The sequence below is a fragment of the Homo sapiens genome, chromosome 10 (genome assembly GCF_000001405.40).
Source record: "Homo sapiens chromosome 10, GRCh38.p14 Primary Assembly".
Classification (NCBI taxonomy): domain Eukaryota; kingdom Metazoa; phylum Chordata; class Mammalia; order Primates; family Hominidae; genus Homo; species Homo sapiens.
This window is the reverse complement of record NC_000010.11, coordinates 92,540,405-92,562,258: the sequence shown is the minus strand read 5'-3', so window position 1 is coordinate 92,562,258 and position 21,854 is coordinate 92,540,405. Positions and strand designations below refer to the sequence as shown.

General features: G+C 41.1%; 1 protein-coding gene across 16 annotated transcripts in view; it reads left to right on the top strand.

The window, feature by feature from the left end:
- IDE (insulin degrading enzyme) overlaps positions 1–21,854 on the top strand; it is a 122,410-nt gene that overhangs the window by 11,835 nt on the left and 88,721 nt on the right. For 3 of the 16 annotated variants that reach the window (NM_001410974.1, NM_001322795.2, XM_047425175.1), the window contains exon 2: positions 3,044–3,225. The exons of 11 other annotated variants lie outside the window; for them this stretch is intronic. The gene's annotated coding sequence lies outside the window, so the exon portion shown is untranslated. Of the gene's footprint in view, positions 1–3,043; positions 3,226–7,341; positions 7,379–20,905; positions 20,962–21,854 lie in introns of those variants that run through there. 2 more of the 16 variants (XM_047425171.1, XM_017016187.2) reach the window with 2 other exon arrangements.

Below are 21,854 nucleotides of genomic sequence, written 5' to 3'. Positions count from 1 at the left end.
GTATGACCGACTATAAATGAGGTCACTGTAGACCAGTAGGCTGGGATGTGGCATGTGGATATGTTTTGCAGTTGTTATTTTTTAAATGGGAATCAACACTTAGAAATCCTGAGAGTTCAGTTCCTTTTGGGAAAAAGGGATAATCTGGTAACAGTGGGCCCACATTCCTGCCTGGCAGCAATTAGCTTGAGCTAGGGAAGATTTGTCTTTCAGAAGGGGCATGCATTCCTTCTTACAGCCTGCTTTGCTTATTTACATTACTTTTTTGGCCTTGTAAACATTATATTTGTGATCCGTTCTATACAGTGATTGGAGGAAGTTAGTCTTAGTAGTTTTCAGACATACTGGAGGTTTTTGTTAATAATAAAAATGAAACAAAATACACATGTAAATTGCTCCGAAAGTACAGAAATGATTGTGTAATCAGGACTACCCTTTGCCTCATTTAAAGTTTACGAAGATTATCACATCATCTTATTTTATTTTATTTTTTTTTGGTGACGGAGTCTCGCTCTGTCACCCAGGCTGGAGTGCAGTGGCGCGATCTCCGCTCACTGCAAGCTCCGCCTCCCGTGTTCAAGCCATTCTCCTGCCTCAGCCTCCCAAGTAGCTGGGACTACAGGCACCCACCACCACGCCCAGCTAATTTTTTTTTTTTTTTGTATTTTTATTAGAGATGGGGTTTCACCATGTTAGCCAGGATGGTCTTGAACTCCTGACCTCAGGTGATCCGCCCGCCTCGGCCTCCCAAAGGGCTGGGATTACAGGCGTGAGCTGCCACGCCCAGCTTACATCATCTTATTTGATCCTTGCAGGACTACCCTTTGCCTCATTTAAAGTTTACGAAGATTATCACATCATCTTATTTGATCCTTATGGCAACTATAGGAGGTTGACAGAGAAATGAAAAGTCCCACAGCTCTTAGGAAGTCTACTTTAGACAGCTGTGCTACTGCTGAGTTCGCCTTACTTATTTATTTATTTACTTATTTATTTTTTTTTTAGACGGAGTTTCACTCTTGTTGCCCAGGCTGGAGTGCAGTGGTGCCATCTCGGCTTACTGCAACCTCCGCCTCCCAGGTTGAAGTGATTCTCCTGCCTCAGCCTCCTGAATAGCTGGGATTACAGGCGCCCACCACCGTGCCCGCTAATGTTTGTATTTTTTTAGTAGAAAGACAGGGTTTCACCATGTTGGCCAAGCTGGTCTCGAACTCCTGACCTCAGGTGATCCATCCACCTTGGCCTCCCAAAGTTCTGGGATTACAGGTGTGAGCCACCACGCCCAGCCTGAGCCACCACACCCGGCCTGAGTTCGCCTTATTGTCTAGAACCCAGGTGAGGATGGAGTGAAGGTGGTGGGTGTGGAAGAGCATGTTAGCTTTGCTTCTAGGAAAGTAAGTGGAGCTATCAGCCTGAGCTCTGTGAGCATGCATAAAAGGAGTAACAAGTCACTTCTCTCAATCTTTTTTTTTTTTTGAGACGGAGTCTCGCTCTGTCGCCTAGGCTGGAGTGCAGTGGCTCCATCTTGGCTCACTGCAACCTCCGCCTCCTGGGTTCAAGTGATTCTTCTGCCTCAGCCTCCTGAGTAGCTGAGACTACAGGTGCGCACCACCATGCCTGGCTAATTTTTGTATTTTTAGTAGAGACGAGGTTTCCCCTTGTTGAACAGGCTCGTCTTGAACTCCTGTCCTCAGGTGATCCACGTGCTAGGGCCTCCCGAAGTGCTGGGATTACAGGTGTGAGCCACCATGCCCAGCTCACTTCTCTCAACCTTTGAGGCATCTCTTGAGTTGCTCACCAAGAAGAGAGGGAGAAAAGAGAGCAAACAGTGTACAGTAAGTCAAGAAGACGATGAGTGTAATGTAACAAGGTAGGGAAGACCAAGAACCTTTTGGAGCAAGATGGCTACATTAGGATTTCTGGTCAGTCAGGTCACATAAATAAGGCAGATAGGAACGTTGACACTGGGAAGACACCGTTCCCAGAAGCCAAATAGACAAGACTATCTGGCCAGTCAGATACACGGTTAAACTAACAGACTTTTAAGGAAAATGAATATGTTATTTGTACTTACAGTCAACCAGCCAAACTATTATCGATATTATTATATGGCAACAACATAGCATCTTTCTAGAAATATTAATGAACAAATTAGGAATTGTCATAAAACAGCAAAAGGGGCAGAGGAAATCAATGAAGCACACTAGAGTTTAACTCTTTCCCTTAAACAATTGAGTTTTTAAATAAGTAAATCCTGTGACTCCCAGACTGAGGCAGGAGGATTGCTTGAGTCCAAGAGTTGGAAACTAGCCTGTGCAACATAGTGGGACCCTATCTCTACAAAAAATAAAAAATTAGCCGAGTGTGGAGGCACGTGCCAGTAATCTCAACTATTCCAGAGGCTGAGGCGGGAGGATTGCTTGAGCCGGGGAAGTCAAAGCTGCAATGAGCCATGATTACACCATTGCACTCCAGCCTGGGTGACAGTGATACCCTGTCTCAAAAAAAAAAAAAAAAAAAATATACCATTCATGGGTTTTAGTGTATTTGCAGAGTTGTGCAACCATCACCACAATCATTTTAAAACATTTTCGTCACCTCAAAAAGAAACATTATACCCTTTGGCAGTTACACTCTATTCCACTCTTCCCTGAGCCCATGGCAGCCACTCATCTTTCTTTCTATGGATTTGCCTGTTCTGGACCATTCATACAAATGACATCAAACAATATGTGGTCTTTTGTGTCTGGCTTTCACTTAACATAATGTTTTCAAAGTTCATTCATATTGAGGTATGTGTCAGTACTTCATTCCTTTTTAGTACTCATAGTATTGCATTGTATGGATAGACCAGATTGTATTTATCCATTCATTAGTTGATGGACATTTGGATTATTTCCAGTCTTGAGATATAATGAATAATACTGCTTTGGGCATTCGTGTACAAGTTTTCATGTGAACACTTATTTTCGTTTCTCTTGGGGATATGCATAGGAGCGGAATTGCTAGGTCATATGCTAACTCTTGTGTTTAACCTTTTCAGGAACTACCAGGTTGTTTTTCAAAGCAGCGGCACTATTTTGCATTTCCACCAGCAGTGTGTGAAAATTCCAATTTCTCTATATCCTTGACAACACTTGCTATATGTACTTTTGTTATAAGCCATCCTGGTGGGTATGAAGTGGTGTCTCATTGGAATTTTGACTTTCATTTTCCTGATGACCAGTGAGTATATTTTCATATGCTTCTTGGCCATTTATATATCTTCTTTAGAGAAATGTCTACTCAGATCCTTTTTCTATTTGTTAATTGGGTTTTTTTTTTTTTTTATTAAAGTTGTAAGAGTTTTAAAATATATTCTCTAGGCCGGGCGTGTTGGCTCATGCCTGTAATCCCAGCACTTTGGGAGGATGAGGCAGGTGGATCACCTGCAGTCAGGAGTTCAGGACCAGCCTGACCAACAAGGTGAAACCCCATCTCTACTAATAATACAAAAATTAGCCGGGCATGGTGGTACACGCCTGTAACCCCAGCTACTCGGGAGACTGAGGCAGGAGAATCGCTTGAACCCTTGAGGCAGAGGTTGCAGTGAGGCAAGATCGTGCCACTGCACTCCAGCCTGGGTGACGAGAGTGAAACTCCATCTTCAAAAAAATACAAATGAAAAAATATATTCTCTATACAAGTCCCTTATCAGATATATGATTTACAAATATTTTATGCCATTCTATAGGTTGTCTTTTCACTTTCTTGATGGTGTTCTTTGAAGCAGAAAGTGTTAAATTTTGTTGAAGTCTAATTTGTCTTTTTAAAAAACTGGTTGTGCTTTTGATGTCATATCTAAGAAGCCACTGCCCAATCCAAGGTCACAAAGATTTAAGTTTTCTTTTAAGATTTGTATTATTGGCCAGGCATGGTGGCTCACACCTGTAATCCTAGCACTTTGGGAGGCCGAGGTGGGCGGATCACCTGAGGTCAGGAGTTTGAGACCAGCCTGGCTAACATGGTGAAACCCTGTCTGTACTAAAAATACCAAAAATTAGCCTGGCGTAGTGACAGGCACCTGTAATCCCAGCTACTCAGGAGACTGAGACAGGAGAATCGCTTGAACCCGGGAGGTGGACGTTGCGGTGAGCTGAGATCACGCCTTTGCACTCCAGCCTGGGCAACAAGAGCAAAACACTATCTCAAAAAAAAGGTTGTATTGTTTAATTATTTAGCTGTTACATGGAAGTCTTTGATCTATTTTGAATTAGTTTTTATGTATGGTGTGAGGTGAGAGTCCAACTTCATCTTTTTACATGTGGATATCCAGTACCATTTGTTGAAAAGACTAGTCCTTCCTCATTGAATTGTTTTGCATCCTTTTTTTTTTTTTTTTTTTGAGGTGGAATCTTGCTCTGTTGCCCAGGTTGTAGTGCAGTGACTGCAACCTCCGCCTCCCAGGTTTAAACAATTCTTATGCCTCAGCCTCCTGAGTAGCTGGGACTACAGGTGTTGGCCACCATGCCCAGATAATTTTTGTATTTTTAGTAGAAATGGTGTTTCACCATCTTCGCCAGGCTAGTCTCGAACTCCTGGCATCAAGTGATCTGCCTACCTTGGCCTCCCAAAGTGCTGGGATTACAACATGCCCGGCCATCATCCTTTTCAAAAATAAATTGATCAAAAGGTGAGGGTTTAACTCTGAGCTTTCTGTTCTGTTCCATTAATCTGTATGGTTTTTTTTGAGATGGAGTCTTTCTCCCAGGCTGGACTGCAGTGGCACTATCTTGGCTTACTGCAAGCTCCGCCTCTCAGGTTCACACCATTCTCCTGCCTCAGCCTCCTGAGTAGCTGGGACTACAGGCGCCCGCCACCAAGCCTGGCTAATTTTTTGTATTTTTAGTAGAGATGGGGTTGCACCATGTTATCCAGGTTGTTCTCGATCTCCTGACCTCGTGATCCACCCCCCTCGGCCTCCCAAAGTGCTGGGATTACAGGTGTGAGCCGCCGTGCCTGGCCCATTAATCTGTATGTTTATCCTGATGCCAGTACCACACTATTTTGCTTACAATTGTTTTGAAGTCAGGCAGTTTGAGTCTTCCAGCTTTGTTCTTCTTTCTCAAGACTTTTTTGACCATTCTGGGTCCTCTGCATTTCCAAACAAGTTTTAGGATCAATTTGTCAATTTCTGCAAAAAAGGAGGCTTAGGTGGGATTTTAATCTATTTGGGGATTACTGTTATCTTAAAAATACTGTCTTCCCATCCATGAACATGGGAGTCTTTCCATTTAAAGTTTAAGTTTTACATTTCTTTTGTTAAATTTATGCATAAGTTTTTTTTTTTTTTTTTTGAGGCGGAGTCTCACTCTGTAGCCCAGGTGGAGTGCAATGGCAAGATCTTGGCTCACTGCAACCTCCACCTCCCAGGTTCAAGCAATTCTCCTGTCTCAGCCTCCCTAGTAGCTGGGATTACAGGCGCCCACCACCGTGTTCAGCTAATTTTTGTTTTTGTTTTTGAGACAGACTTTCGCTCTGTTGCCCAGGCTGGAGTGCAGTGGCGCGATCTCAGCTCACTGCAACCTCCGCCTCCTGGGTCCAAGCGATTCTCCTGCCTCAGCCTCCCGAGTAGCTGGGATTACAGGTACCCACCACCACGCCCGGCTAATTTTTGTAGTTTTAGTAGAGACAGGGTTTCACCATGTTGGCCAGGCTGGTCTCGAACTCCTGACCTCAGGTGATCACCTGCCTTGGCCTCCCAAAGTGCTGGGATTATAGGGGTGAGCCACTGCACCCAGCCTGATTTTCGTATTTTTTGTAGAGACAGGGTTTCACCATGTTGGTTAGGCTGGTCTCGAACTCCTGACCTCAGGTCATCCACCCGCCTCAGCCTCTCAAAGTGCTAGGATTACAGGCATGAGCCACTGTGCCCACCCAGTATTTTATTTTTTGATGCTATTATTAATTGTTTTCTTATTTTTAGTTTGTTCATTGCTACTGTATGGAAATACAATTGATATTTTTATATTCAAGATCATGTCTTCTGCAAATGGAGCTAATTTTACTTTTTTCTTTCTTTTTTTTTTTTTTTTTTTTTGAGACGGAGTCTCGCTCTGTCACCCAGGCCGGACTGCGGACTGCAGTGGTGCAATCTCGGCTCACTGCAAGCTCTGCTTCCCGGGTTCACGCCATTCTCCTGCCTCAGCCTCCCGAGTAGCTGGGACTACAGGCGCCCGCCACCGCGCCCCGCTAATTTTTTGTATTTTTAGTAGAGACGGGGTTTCACCTTGTTAGCCAGGATGGTCTCGATCTCCTGACCTCGTGATCCACCCGCCTCGGCCTCCCAAAGTGCTGGGATTACAGGCGTGAGCCACCGCGCCCGGCCTACTTTTTTCTTTCTAATTTGTACGCCGTTTATTTCATTTTCTTGCCTAATTGGTCTGTTTAGAACTTCCAGGACAGTGTTGAATAGAAGTGGCAAGAGTGGAAATCCTTGTCATCTTCTTGATCTTAATGGTAAAAACATTATCTGTCACCATTAAGTACGATGCTAGCAGTAGCTTATTCATAGAGTCCCTTTTTCAGGTTGAGGAAATTCTCTTTTATTCCTAGTTTGATCAGCATTTTTGTCATGAAAGAGATATACTGTATTTTTGAAACAATCTCATACTGAAAAGTTTTTATTGTACAATATAGTGCAAATAATTTTTTTCCTGAACCAATTACAGTAATTTGACCATTGGATACTTTAGTGTGATTTTCTTTTTTTTTTTTTTTTTGAGACAAAGTTTTTTTCTTGTTGCCCAGGCTGGAGTGCAATGGCACTATCACGGCTCACCGCAACCTCCGCCTCCTGGGTTCAAGTGATTCTGCTGCCTCAGTTTCCCAAGTAGCTGGGATTACAGGTATGTGCCACCATGCCTGGCTAATTCTGTATTTTTAGTAGAGATGGGATTTCACCATGTTGGTCAGGCTGGTCTTGAACTCCTGGCCTCTGGTGATCCCCCCATCTCAGCTCCCAAAGTGTTGGGATTACAGGCGTGAGCCACTGTGCCCGGCCTCTTTAGTGTGATTTTCTATATCATCACAATACCATCAGAATCAGAAAATTATCATTGATGAATAGAAATGAGAGTGGGCATCCTTGTCATGCTTGTTCCTGATTATAGAGGAAAGGCTTTCAGCTTTTCACTGCTGAATACGTTCATTGTTTGCTTGTCTTCCATGGCTCTTATTGTACTGAAGTACACAATGGAGGTATTCCTTGTATACCTAATTTGTTGAGAGTTTTTACCGTGAAAGGCTGTTGAATTTTGTCAAATTATTTTTCTGCTCTATTTTTCCCCCCTTTTTTCACAGCTCCTGCATGTGGCATCTGAAAGCTATCTGTGAAGAGGTATTTTTCTGTTTGTTTTTTTTTTGAGATGGAATTTTGCTCTTGTTGCTCAGGCTAGAGTGCAAGAGTACAGTGGTGAGATCTTGGCTCACTGCAACCTCTGCCTCCCAGGTTCAAGCAATTCTTCTGCCTCAGCCTCCCGAGTAGCTGGGATTACAGGCATGTGCCACCACGCTTGGCTAATTTTGTATTTTTAGTAGAGACGGGGTTTTCCCATGTTGGTCAGACTGGTCTCGAACTCCTGACTTCAAGTGATCCGCCTGCCTTGGCCTCTCAAAGTGTTGGGATTACAGGCATGAGCCACTGCACCTGGCCATCTTTTTTTTTTTTTTTTTAAGACACTGTTGCATTCTTGTCAGCCTGATTGGAGTGCAGTGGTGCAATCATGGCTCACTGCAGACCTAAACTCTTGGGCTCAAGGGACCTTTCTACCTTAGCATCCCTGAGTACTTGGGAATATAGGCATGTGCCATCATGCCCAGCTGTTTTTGTAGAGACGGTATCTTGCTGTGTTGCCCAGGCTAGTCTTGAGCTCTTGAATTCAAGCCATCCTCCCACCCCAGCCTCCCAAAATGCTGGGATGACAGGCATGAGCCACTATACTTAGCCTTTTTTCTGCATCTATTGAGATGATTGTGTGGGGTTGTTCCCCCTTCATTCTGTTAATGTGGTATATCACATTTATTGATTTGCAATAAGTGTGTTGATGTTGAACCATCCTTGCATTGCCGGGATAAATCTCACTTGATCAAGGTGAATGATCCTTTTAACGTGCTGTTGAATTTGGTTTGCTAGTATTTTGTTGAGGGTATTTGCATCAATATTCATCAGTGATATTGGCCTGTAGTTTTCCTTTTTTGATGTGTCTTTGTGTAGTTTTGGTATCAGGGTAATACTGGCCTCATAGAATGAGTTTGGAGTTATTCCTTCCTTGTCTATTTTTTGGAATAATTTGAGTAGAATTGGTATTAGTTCTTTAAATATTTAGTAGAATTCAGCAGGAAAGCCATGGGTCCTGGGCTTTTCTTTGCTAGGAGACTTTTTATTATGGCTTCAATCTTGTTACTTGTTGGTGTGTTCAGGTTTTGGATTTCTTCATGGTTCAATCTTGGTAGGTTGTATGTGTCTAGGAATTTATCCATTTTTTCTAGATTTTTCAATTTATTGGCATATAGTTGCTCATAATAGCCACTAATGATCTTTTGAATTTTTGCGGTATCAGTTGTAATGTCTCCTTTTTCATCTCTGATTTTGTGTTGTCTCTCTTTTTTTCTTAGTCTGGCTAAATGTTTGTCTATATTCATCAAGGTTATTGGCCTGTAGTTTTCTTTTCTTGTAATGTCCTTGTCTGGCTTTAGTATCAGGGTAATACTGATTTCATAAAATGAGTTTGGAGGTATTCTCTCTTCTTTTTTGGAAGAATTTGAGAAAGATTGGTATTCTTTTTTTTTTTTTTTGAGACAGAGTCTCACTCTGTTGCCCAGGCTGGAGTGCAGTGGCATAGTCTTGGCTCACTGCAACCTCTGCCTCCCAAGTTCAAGCAATTCTCCTGCCTCAGCTTCCTGAGTACCTGGGACTACAGGCGTGTGCCACCACACCTGGCTAATTTTTGTATTTTTAATAGAGACAGGATTTCACCATGTTGGCCAACCTGGTCTAGAACTCCTGACTTCAGGTGATCCGCCTTCCTCAGCCTCCCAAAGTGCTGGGATTACAGGTGTGAGCCACCATGCCCAGCCTGCTTTTTCTTTTTCTTATTTATTTATATTGCTATGAACATACATTTATCTTAACTTACGGCTGAAAATTCAGTACTATCGTTCTTTGTTTTGTTGCTCAAATTATTATGGCTTGGACCCTTAGGAGTTTCTTCATTTTGGCTCCTGTGTATTTTGAATAAGCCCCATCTTTTTTAGAGTATTGTTTTACTTCTGTTCTAGACTCATATTTTTCTTGCCCTAGCCCTTGAATCAATCACTTAGTTCCTTTTATTGGAAAATAATTTTTTTTTTTTTTTTTTTTTGAGACTGAGTCTTACTCTGTCACCCAGGCTGGAGTACAATGGTGTGATCTCGGCTCATTGCAATCTCTGCCTCCCAGGTTCAAGCAATTCTCCTGCCTCAGCCTCCAGGTAGCTGGGATTACAGGCATGTGCCACCATGCCTGGCTAATTTTTGTATTTTTAGTAGAGATGGGAGTTCACCATGTTAGCCACACTGGTCTCAAACTCCTGACCTGAGGTGATCTGCTCGCCTCAGCCTCCCAAAGTCCTGGGATTACAGGCGTGAGCCAACTCACCTGAGCAGAAAATAATCTTCGCAGACCAAGATCTGGGCACTAGATGTGCTCATTGTTGCTGAGGTGTCATTGCTTCTAGTGGCCGGCCAGTCTAGTGCCTCTGGTGGACAGCCACATATACACGTTTTTATATTTCTATGTCTTTTTGTATATAATAAAAATATAAGTTTGTATTGATACCTTTGATTCCAACTTAGTACCACAATTGTAGCCTTCTCCCATTTCTTATTTATAACATCTTTTTCCAACAATGAGAACACTGGATTTCATTTTCTACAATTTACTTTCTTATTTCCTCAATTCTAGTGTACACATAGTTTCATAATTGCTAGCTCACCTGTGAGAAACATTTTTAAAATAGGTCACAATATTTGCATGTAGTTCTTTTTCTCTTAGGCTTTATTGTATCCAGTCAAAATCCAGCTTTCCATAGTTAAGTTCTTTTCTTTTACACTCCTTCAATGTGATTATGTTACTCATTTATAGTTGTTAGGTTAGTTTGTTAGAATATTGATTGTTTCTCACCCCACCCCCCCATCATGGTTGGTTTTATTATTGTGATAAAGAATATGTAACATAAAATTTATCATTTTGACCTTTTTGTGTGTGTGTATAGATGGGGTCTGACTATGTTGCCCAGACTGGTCTCAAACTCCTGGCCTCAAGTGATCTTCCTACCTTGGCTTTCCAAAGTACTGGGGTAACAAGCATGAGCCACTGCACCTGGCCCATTTTGAGCATTTTTAAGTGTATTGTTCGGTGGCAGTAAATACATCCACGTTGTTGTGTAACCATCACCATCATCCATCTCTAGAACTTTTTTCATCTCACCAAACTGAAACTCTGTACCCATCAAATAATAACTCACCATTTCCCCTCCCTTCAGACCCTTGCAACCACCTGTCTGTTTTCTGTCTGTGAATTTGACTACTCTAGGTACCTTATATAAGTGGAGTTGTGTAGTATTTGTCCTTTTGTGATTAGCTGATTTCTTTTCTTTTTTTTTTTTTTTTTTTGAGATGGAGTCTTGCTCTGTCACCAGGCTGGAGTGCAGTGGTGCAGTCTTGCCTAACTGCAACCTCTGCCTCCCGGGTTCAAGCAATTCTCCTGCCTCAGCCTCCTGAGTATCTGGGACTATAGGTGTGCACCACCACTCCCAGCTAATTTTTGTATTTTTAGTAGAGATGGGGTTTCACCGTGTTGGCCAGGATGGTCTCGATCTCTTGACCTCCTGATCCACCTGCCTTAGCCTCCCAAAGTGCTGGGATTGCAGGCATGAGCCACTGCACCCAGCCAGCTTATTTCATTTAGTATGTCTTCTAGGTTCATATGGTAGCATGTGCCAGAATTTTTTTCCTTTTTAAGGCTGAATAAATTTTATTGTATAAACTACGTTTTGTTTACTGATTCATCCATCAGTGGACACTGGCGTGACTTCCACCTTTTGGCTGTTGCCAGTACTGCTGCTATGAACATAGCTGTACAAATATCTGTTTGAGTCTTTGGTTTCATTTCTTTTGTATATGTATCCAGAAGTGGAATTGTTAGATCACATGGTAATTCTATTTCTAATTTTCTGAGGAACTGCCATACAGTTTTCCATACTGCTGTACCATTTTGTATTCCCACTAGCAAGTGTGCACAGGTTCCAGTTTTTCTACATCCTCACCTGCACTTATTATTTATTCTATTTTATTTTTTAATATTATTTTTTGAGACCGAGTCTCGCTCTGTTGCCAGGCTGGAGTGCAATGGCACGATCTCGGCTCACTGCAAGCTCTGCCTTCCAGGTTCATGCCATTCTCCTGCCTCAGCCTCCTGAGTAGCTGGGACTACAGGCGCATGCCACCACGCCCAGCTAATTTTTATATTTTTAGTAGAAACGGGGTTTCACCATGTTGGCCACGATTTTTTTTTTTTTTTTTTTTTTTTGAGACGGAGTCTAGCTCTGTTGCCCAGGCTGGAGTGTAGTGGCGCTATCTCTGCTCACTGCAAGCTCCGCCTCCTGGGTTCACACCATTCTCCTGTCTCAGCCTCCCGATTGGCTGGGACTACAGGCACCTGCCACCACACCCGGCTAATTTTTTGTATTCACAGTGTTTTTAAAATAATTATCCTAATTGGTATGAAGTGGTACTTCATTTTAGTTTTGATTTGTACTTTTCTAATGATTAGTGATGTTGAGCATCTTTTTATATGCTTATTGGCCATTTGTATATCTTCTTTGGAGAAGTGGCTTTTTAAGACCTTTGCCCATTTAGAAATTTTTTGTTGTTTTGTTGCAGATTTTAATATATTCTGGATATTAACCCCTTATCAGATATTTTTTCCCACTCCACAGGTTGCCTTTTCACTGTGTCCTTTGCACAGAAATTTTTTATTTTAATATAGGTCAGTTTATTTATTTATTTACTTATTTACTTAGTTTTTGAGATGGCCCAGGCTGACGTGCAATGGCGTGATCTCAGCTTGCTGCGACCTCCACTTCTCAGGTTCAAGAGATTCTCCTGCCTCAGCCTCCCGAGTAGCTGGGATTGCAGGTATGCGCCACCATGCCCAGCTAATTTTGTATTTTTAGTGGAGACGGGGTTTCTCCATGTTGTTCAGGCTGGTCTTGAACTCCTGACCTCAGGTGATCTGCCTGCCTCGGCCTCCCAAAGTGTTGAGATGAACTTTTAACTTGGTGGAGTGTTAAACAGCATGGTCATTTTGTGTCTAAAGACTTGGGTTTGAATCCTAGCTCTTCTATTTTATACCTATGTGGTTCCAACCAAATAACTTTTCTGAGCTTTAATTTCCCCATCCAGTAAAGAATGGGACTAATAGGATCTATATAAGGGGTTTATTGAATATATTATATATATGTATAATATATAATAGATTTATTCCCTAAACAAGTATATGTGCCACAAGATACTGACTGAGTATTCAGTAAGCATCTGTTCTGACATACTGGCTTTGCTTCTTTCTAAGCTTAACCCCTTCACTTACGTACTAGATTCCTTACTCTAGGACAAGGTTCCTGTAAAGTTTCCTTCTCTCTTTCTCTTTCATTATCAGTTTTTCTCCTCTCTTTATGTAAATCTTTTGTGGCTTAGATGTTGATTGATTGATTGATTGATTGAGAGATATGTAGATACATAGATGGGAGTTTAATTATAGAAGCGTTCTGTACTTTAATGAGGCTGTCTCTTGGATTTAAGTGGATAGAATTGGTTGCATTGATTTTCATCCATTATTTTGGGGGTAATAAAATCAGAACTATAAGCTAGGGTCTTTCATCCTTAGCACTATTGATATTTTGTGCCAAAATCTTTTTTTTTTTTAAGACACAGTCTCACTCTGTTGCCCAGGCTGGAGTGCAGTGGCACAGTCTTGGCTCACACAACATCCGCCTCCCAGATTCAACTGATTCTTGTGCCTCAGCCTCCCGAGTAGCTGGGATTACAGGTTTGTGCCACCATGCCCAGCTGATTTTTGTATTTTTAGTAGAGACAGTGTTTCAATATGTTGGCCAGGCTGGTTTCTAACTCCTGACCTCATGTGATCCGCCCGCCTCAGCCTCCCAAAGTGCTGGGATTACAGGTGTGGATCATATAATTCTTTCTTGTGGGAGATATCCCATACAGTGTAGGTTGCTTAGTGGCATCCCTGGCCTCTACTCACTATGTGCCATTAGCACCTTCAGTTGTGACAATAAAAAATGCCTCTAGTCATTGCCATATGTCCTCAGCGAGGGTTGGTGAGTGGGAATAGTCACCCATTGAGAACTACTTACTATAAACACTGGCTCATCTATAGCAATTATAAAGGGATAATTATTTACCTGGTTTCCTAATAGTCTTATAAAGTATAATCCTATTATCAGCCTACCTAATGAATGTTTTTGACCTCCAGAGATGACAAATAACATCTGGAATTCACATAAGTATGTGTTAAGAATGCTGGTAATAACATGGTGGTTATGGAGGTGGTTCATTTGCACCTTAGCCACTGCGACCATAATAATGATGATGATTTTATAATAATCAAGTTACCATTCATGGATGACTACTGTGTACCAGGAACTATGCCTTGGTGAAGTTTATATAAACATATTTTACAGGAGAAACTCTGTGAAAGGTTGTCTGAGTGTGATGCAACTATAGGTGCCCCTGTCAATTTAATGAGCCATGTATACATTTCATCTGACTCTTTTTTTTTTTTTTTTTTTTTTTTTTTTTGAGATGGAGTTTTGCTCTTGTTGCCCAGGTTGGAGTGCAGTGGCACAATCTTGGTTCACCGCAACCTCTGCCTCCTGGGTTCAAGCGATTCTCCTGCTCAGCCTCCCGAGTAGCTGGGATTACAGGAGTCTGACACCACGCCTGGCTAATTTTGGTGTTTTTAGTAGAGATGGAGTTTCTCGACGTTGGTCAGGCTGGTCTTGAACTCCCGACCTCAGGTGATCGGCCTGCCTTGGCCTCCCAAAGTGCTGGGATTACAGGCATGAGCCATCGCGCCTGGCCTCATCTGACTCTTGATTGTCAAAACTAGATGAGGCCAAGATGGGCACGATGGCACACCATCCTACTTGGGAGGCTGAGATGGGAGGATCGCTTGGGCCTGGGTGTTCAAGTTCAGCCTGCGCAACATAGGGAGAACTGTTTTTTAAAAAAACAAGCTAGATGAGGCCAGAAAGTCTGGTTTGACCAGAATAGTCCAGTAGTATCCAGTGCCTCAGGAGCAGAGAGGTCATCTGGTAAAGGTGAGGGTATGTAATTACCAAACACGGGCTGGAAGTGGTCAGTAGATCAGTGCAGACAGTGAAGAATCACACCTAAGGCAAAGTACAGGTCAAGTTTCCTGAGGCAGCATTCTCTGAGTTGGGCAGATCATCTTCTGTACATATGAGTGGAACTGAACTGTCTGTACAGAATACAGGTTGAGCATTCCAAATCTGAAAAATTCAAAATTCAAAATCAGAAATGCTCCAAAATTCTAAATTTTTTGAGCACCAACATGATGCTCAAAGTAGATGCTCTATCGGTAAATGTAATGCAAATATTTAAAAATCCAGGAAAATCTGAAATACATCTGATCCCAACCATTTTTGATAAGGGATATTTATGGTTTGCTTTTTTTAGAAGGCTATCTTGAGAGAATTACTTACAGGTCGATAACTCTTCCCAGCCTGTGATTTGAATTGATCTTTAGAAACCAGGCCAGGTGCAGTGGCTTATGCCTGTAATCCCAGCATTTTGGGAGGCCGAAGCGGGCAGATTGCTTGAGCCCAGGAGTTCGAGTCATCCTGGGAAACATGGTAAAACCCTGTCTCTACTAAAAAAAAAAAAAAATACAAAAAATTAGCCGGGCATGGTGGCGTATGCCTGTAGTCCCAGCTGCGCAGGAGGCTGAGGTGGGAGGATCACCTGAGCCCAGGAAGTCATGAGCCATGATAGTGCCACTGCACTCCAGCCTGGGCGCTGGGAGTGAGACCCTATCTTACAAAAAAGAAGAAGAAGAAGAAAACCATGACAGGTGTCTTTAAGCTGCCCTTGCTGTTCTGGGTTCATGAAGCATCTGTGGGAGGTTGCCCATATGTAAAATTAGTTGAGTTTGAAGAAATGTTAACGTTATATGGTATTCTTTTAATTTTGTTTTAAAAATAATTTTTCTCATTCAAATCCTGAATTAGAAGTTGTTTGGTATAAATATTGAAAATTGTTGAGGGGAGAATTTATTCAAAGTTTAATCATTTTGCTTTTATCTATGTTATACTTAGCTATTAGTTACTGGAAGTGTCAAGTTTTATTTTTAGATCTTAACTAGAGTCTAAAGTAATTACTAAAAGCTAGTTTTCAAATAATATGTAATGAGTAAAGTCCTGAGTTAAAAGATTTAGCATACTGAATTAACTTAGTTGACTGATGCTGTACTTACATGGGCCTCCTATTTCTTGTGGCCAAGATAGCATCAACAGAAATAATTGAAATAATTGTCTCGAGACACACCTGAGAAGGTTTAATTATGTTAATTGTACTACTGTTCCTTAGTGAGCCTTCTTAGTTTAGCACCTCTTTGGTATGGGTAGCTGCTTTCCAGTATTCAAGTGGTACTATTTCCAGGATGATTTTTGGCGGTTGATATTTGTAATATCAGTAATTCATGTATCTCCCCCTTCCTTTTATTTTACTGTGTTTTATGATATTTTGAAAAGCTCTATTTTTAAGAACTTTTAATTGAAAGATGGCAGTGTTCAACTTAATGCATTTTTACAAACTGAACGTACCTGTATAACCAGCACATGACCTGGAACCCCAAAGCCCCCTTCATTCTCCTTTCCAAATCCAATCACTACTCCCACTCCCAAGGGTAATGACTATCCTGGGATGAAAGCATAGCTTGATTTTACTTGCTCTTCTGCTTTGTATAAATGGAAGGTTACAGTATTTACTCTTTTGTGTCTAGCCTCTTTCACTCAACCCTATATTAGTGAGATTCATGTTTATTGTGCTTTGTTCTATATTATTCCTTTTTATTGCTGTATACTTTCCATTGTGTGCATGTACAATTTATCATTTCACTGTTGATTGTCATTTGATCATTTCTGGTTTGGGCTAGTTTGAATAGTGTTGCTATGAACATATAAATGCATTTATTTGGGTTATTTATCTGTTACTAGCATTGTTAGGTCATAGTGTGAGCTTTAGTGTATAGTGCCAGTTTTTGAAAATGGTTGTACCCATACCAAATTGCATGTCTGTAGCAGTGTGTGAGAGTTTGTTAACTTCTCTAACACTTGGTATTTGCCCTCTTTTTCTTTTTAGCCATTCTGGTAAATACATAGTAGTATCTCAGAAAATCTTCTGTTGGGAAAGTTAGTTGCAAATTTGGGACCTCCTGGGACTTTAATCTGTCACACCAACTTCATGCCACCACTGAAGCCTCAATAATACCTCTTCGTCCAGTACAGTCCCTTTGCTTAGGGCAAGCATGATCTTCAGTCTGCACTCAGAATTAGCAGATATTCCCAGATAAGAAAATGAATGATGATTATCAGCTCACCTCAGAGGTTGCTCACCTTTCTGGAACTAGTTTATCCAATCCTTGTTGCTTGCACAACTTTCCAACATCTTTGCAAATGTGATTTTTGTAATTTATCATGGCCTTTTCTAGTTGTTGAAGCTGAATTAGTTTGCCATGAGCTGCTATATCCTACCCAGAAGTGGAAGTTGTCAGTAGATTCTTGGGATTTTCTATATACATAATCATATTGCTTGAGAATCATGTTAATTTTTTTCCTCTTTCCTTTCCCATCTCTATGTGTTTTGTTTCTTTTTCTTGGTTTATTTGGACTGGTTAGAACTACCAATACAATGTTGAAATAGAAGAAGTGTTAGTGGCATCGTGTTGGTGGGGGAGGGCGGGAGATTGTTTACATTAATTGTAATGTAAACTATTGAGTATACCATTGAGTATGATAATTACCATAGTTTCTATGATATTCTTTTTAAAATGGATAAATTTAATTCCAGTTTGCTGACTTTAAAAAAATACGTGAATGGTTGTTGAATTTAAGTACTTTTCTGCAGCTACCAAGATGATTATGATTTTCTTCTCTTTTTTCTGATTATATGGTTTAATGTATACTTTTAAAAAATAGTATACTTAAACCCATTCATGTCTACTGTAGTACTTGTTTTTATGTTTCCTTTCATGCATGAGTCAGTTCTGTACATATACTCTCTTGCTTTAAACCTGTTATACATTTAATCCTGCCATGTATTATGGTTCTTAGCTAAGGGATTCCTTTGGTAGATTAGAAGCATTGCAGACTCCCCCTACTACCTGTGTTTTATATGCAGAAGAAGGAGTGAAAAACTGAAAACTTTCCTTGGAGCATTTATTTTGACCTAGTTTAATTTTTGTTTCCTGGCTTTTGTTATTTGGGATTGTAAGGGAAGAAGAATGGGGCTAGGGAAGGACTGTGAGGGTGATAAACAGGAGCTGGAGAATAAACCAGTGTATGATTTCCTTCAGCACCACCTCTGTCCCTCCCCTTCCCACGCTTCCTCTTTCTCTGTAGTTCCAGCTTTACCACAATCAGCTTGCCCTTGGGCAAGTCACTTAACCACTTATCTTTTCTTTTTTTTCTTTTTGGTTATACTTTAGTATGCAAGCACTGACTGAGCTTTTGTTTCTCATTTGGAGTTGAAGAGGATGACTGCGAACAGCTGTTACGACCCACCACTTAAGGAGAATGGAAGGATTAAATGAACAGTTTATAAAGCCTATGACACTTTAAAAAAATGAGAGTGATTGTTAGGATTAGATTTGTACAATGGTATTCTATCTTTTTTTTTTTTTTTTTGAGATGGTGTCTCGCTCTGTCACCCAGGCTGGAGTGCAGTGGCGCAATCTTGGCTCACTGCAACCTCCGCTTCCTGGGTTCAAGTGATTCTCCTGCCTCAGCCTCCCAAGTAGCTGGGATTACAGGCATGCGCCATCATGCTTGGCTAATTTTTGTATTTTCAGTAGAGACAGGGTTTCACCATGTTGGCCAGGCTGGTCTCAAACTCTTGACCTCAGGTGATCTGCCCACCTCGGCCTCCCAAAGTGTTGGGATTACAGGCGTGACCCACGGCACCCGGCCTATATCTTACATTTCCTAACAGCCCTGAAAACTCCATGTGGAAGAAGGATACTTGTGAAACACCCTTGGTACCCAAACTACAAGAAACTTTCTATAGTTACCTCTGTGGCACAAGGTCTAAAACAGAGGTTTTATTCACTTGCTTAAACTTTATAACGTTTCTATAAAGTGTTCTGTGTTAAGCTTGTCACTTTTGGAATGAACAACCATTGATAGGCATGCATCAAACTAAAACAACATTTGCAAAAGCACTTCTCTCTAGAATGATACTACTTTAGAATTTCTTTAAATTGCAACCACCCTACTTCATTTAAGGGTTTATTTGTTGATCATAAACTCCTTTCCAGAGGGCCAGGACATAGAGTTACGATAGCTGATATTCTGCCTGGCACAAAGGCAAAACATCAGGGGTGAATAAGTTTAACAGGATTTTATTTTGTACCCAACTTTATGATCTAGCTGGTGTATGAAGTTAGGTGTACCTGTTCCTATAACTGAAGAGCTTTGGGTAGGTGGTTCCCTAAGACATGTTGTTATTTTTTAGTTCATGTATTATTAATAGTACTTGGGGTATATGGTCTTAAGCATTAATATGTTGAGGCATCCTTGGGCTCATACCACCACTATCTTGTCACCCTCTGCTTATTTACCTCTACCTTCTGCAAGGAACTGGGAATGTTATGTGGTGTGGTTTTGATTCCATGCCTTTTCTCTCTGGGCTCCTCCTCCACATGCATGAGTGCTATAGGCCTTGACTTCCACCTATGGTTTTGGGAGTGGGTGGATGGATTCCACAGAAGGGAGGTTTTGGTTTGTAATTCACTATTAACGTGATCACTCACCTGTTCAGGTTTATAGGTCATTATTTCTAAATCAGGTCTGACTTTAAATTTGTGAGAGACCAATGGAGGTGAGTAGGAAGCAAAAAGCAAAGTAAAATTTCCCAATCTGCTACTATATTGATCATGAAACACTTTAAAGAGAGATGAGAAAGACTGAAAGGTCACCTGAATAAAAGATTCTTTGCAGAGTAAAATTTACTCTTGGTGTGGAATTTGGAAATGACCTTATATTTGGGGATTTGTTTTTGCAAACCTGAAATTTAGGCCTTTACATGTCTTAGTCCATGATCTTGACCTGGAGTTCCTGTTGTAGTTCATTAGCACCACGCTTCTTGTTTTTCCACTGTATTCCTCATGCTTTTTCCTCATTGTCAGGCTTCGCTCACGAATTCCCTTCTACTTTGATTGATTGTCCCCTTGCCTTTTATTTGGTGTGCTTCTACTCCCCCTCCTAGACAGGGTTACTCCCATAGTGCCCCAGGGAAAGTTTTGTCACCACACTTAAAAGATAATGACCTGGGCTGGGTGTAGTGTCTCATGCCTGTAATCCCAGCACTTTGGGAGGCCAAGGCGGCAGTCTCTTGCGCCCAGGAGTTTGAAAGACCAGCCTGGACAACATGGCAAAACCCCATCTCTACAAAAAAATTACCTAGAGACTAGGCACGGTGGCCCATGCCTGTAGTCCCAGAACTTTGGGAGGCCAAGGCGGGTGGATTGCTTGAAGCCAGGAGTTCGAGACCAGTCTGGCCAGCATGGCGAAACCCTGTCTATAAAACAAAACAAAAAATTAGCTGGGTACGGTGGTGAGTGCCTATAGTCCCAGCTACTGGGGAGGCTGAGGTGGGAGGATCACCTGAGCCCGGGATGTTGAGGCTATAGTGAACCAAGATTGTGCCTGGGTGACAGAGTGAAACCTTGTCTCAAAAAGTAGAAAAAAAAGATAATGACCTGTTTTTATATCTGACTTCATCACTAGTCTAGGTTCCTTCAAAACAAGGGCTCTGGTGTACTCATTTTTGTAACCATTTGCATAGTGTGATGCCTGGACCTTAATAGACTTCCTTAAGTGTTTGTTTGGATGTGGAGGGGAGGCTGGACACAGGACTGGGAGTTAAGACTGAGTTTGATTATAACTTTTTGTTGTATGATCTTGGGCAACTGATTTATTAAACTCCTTGAGGTTCAGTTTCCTTGTATGTAAGATGAGGGGATCTAGCCCACCTGGGGATCTTGTTAAAATGCAGATTATGGCTCAGTAGGTCTCTGGTGGGTTCTGATATTTTGCATTTTTAACAAGCTCCCAGGAGAAGCCAGTGTAGCCAGTCCCTGAACTGCAAAGGACTAGATAACATCTAGTGGCTCTTCCAGCTTTTATCTTCTGTGATTATAGTCATTGTTTTAAATTCTGAGCAGAATGACAAAATATATGTTGTAATTACTAAATATCTCTCCAGTTTATCAGAGTGCTGAAAAGACAGTTCTGTGCCTTATGAAGTTTCCAGTGTATGACAATGTCCCTAGAATTGAAAGTAATTTTATTGCTCCTAAAATTTTAACTTTAACAAGTTAAAAATATAAATGTCTGGGAAAGCATTTGAGTTAACACTAGCTCGTCATCTAAATTGTCAGTATGCTTGCTTATTGGAGAACATTTGCCATAAATAAAATTACTCTTGAAGGCTTTATGCTAATGATCTGAAGTAGATAGACAGGTGATCTTATGAGTATAAATACAGAGACAGGCAAGCTGTTGATGAATTCATCATCAGAGGAGGAAGAGTTCCCAGTCATTGTCTTCACTTCTCCAGAAGGTGAGAATCAAATCGTTGTAGGAAGTGTTTATAGATATGCTATAGGTAAACCCAGACTTTGTATTGAATAGGATTGCCAGGAATAGGTTTTGTTTGAAAATGTTGCTACTATTTCTTTTGGGTTTTACTTCCTCAAGAAGTCATGATATTTGATTAGGGAGTATTGCCACCTTGGAAATTTTTAGCTTTTCTTGATCCTTTGTACACTAGTAGTTGGACTAATTTTTATGTGTGACTTGTAGAATAAATCTATCTCTTTATTCTCAACCATATCAGGAATATTAATCCAGCACAACTTCAGCGTCCAAATAAGTTATATCCATGGCTGTGATGGATTCTGATCATTTGCAAATAGTTCTTACTGGGCTGGAACTGTTCTGTCTACCTACATCCTACTCTGTGTTTTACAATTTAAATTTTTTTTGTCTAAAAAAATTAAAATCCAGATAAGGGAAGTTGAAACCCTGAAAAAAAGTACAGAGTGTAGCTTATAGTTGAGGTGGTTATCTTTATATAGAGTTTTTAACCTCCCACATAGTAAGTTAATTTATACTTCCAAAGTGAGCTATATTTCATCTCCCCTCTACACAGTTGTGGTTTGGACAGAAGTTTTAGACCATCATCATCATCATCATTATTACATTTCAGTCATTTGTAATTTTTGGTTACCTAAGTCAAACTCACTAGGTCAAGCACCACAGAGGAAATTGAGTATAACTATCACCAGAAGACCAACCTCTTTTCTCCCTGGAGTAGATTCTTGCCTGGGGTAAGTTCAGGCATTCTCTTTGGTACACACGGAGGTTCTTATTAACACTGCCGTTTTAACACTGCCCTTCTTGCTGGGTGTCTTAATGGAGGCTGCCTTGTGGCTTATTTAGTGTTATGTCGCT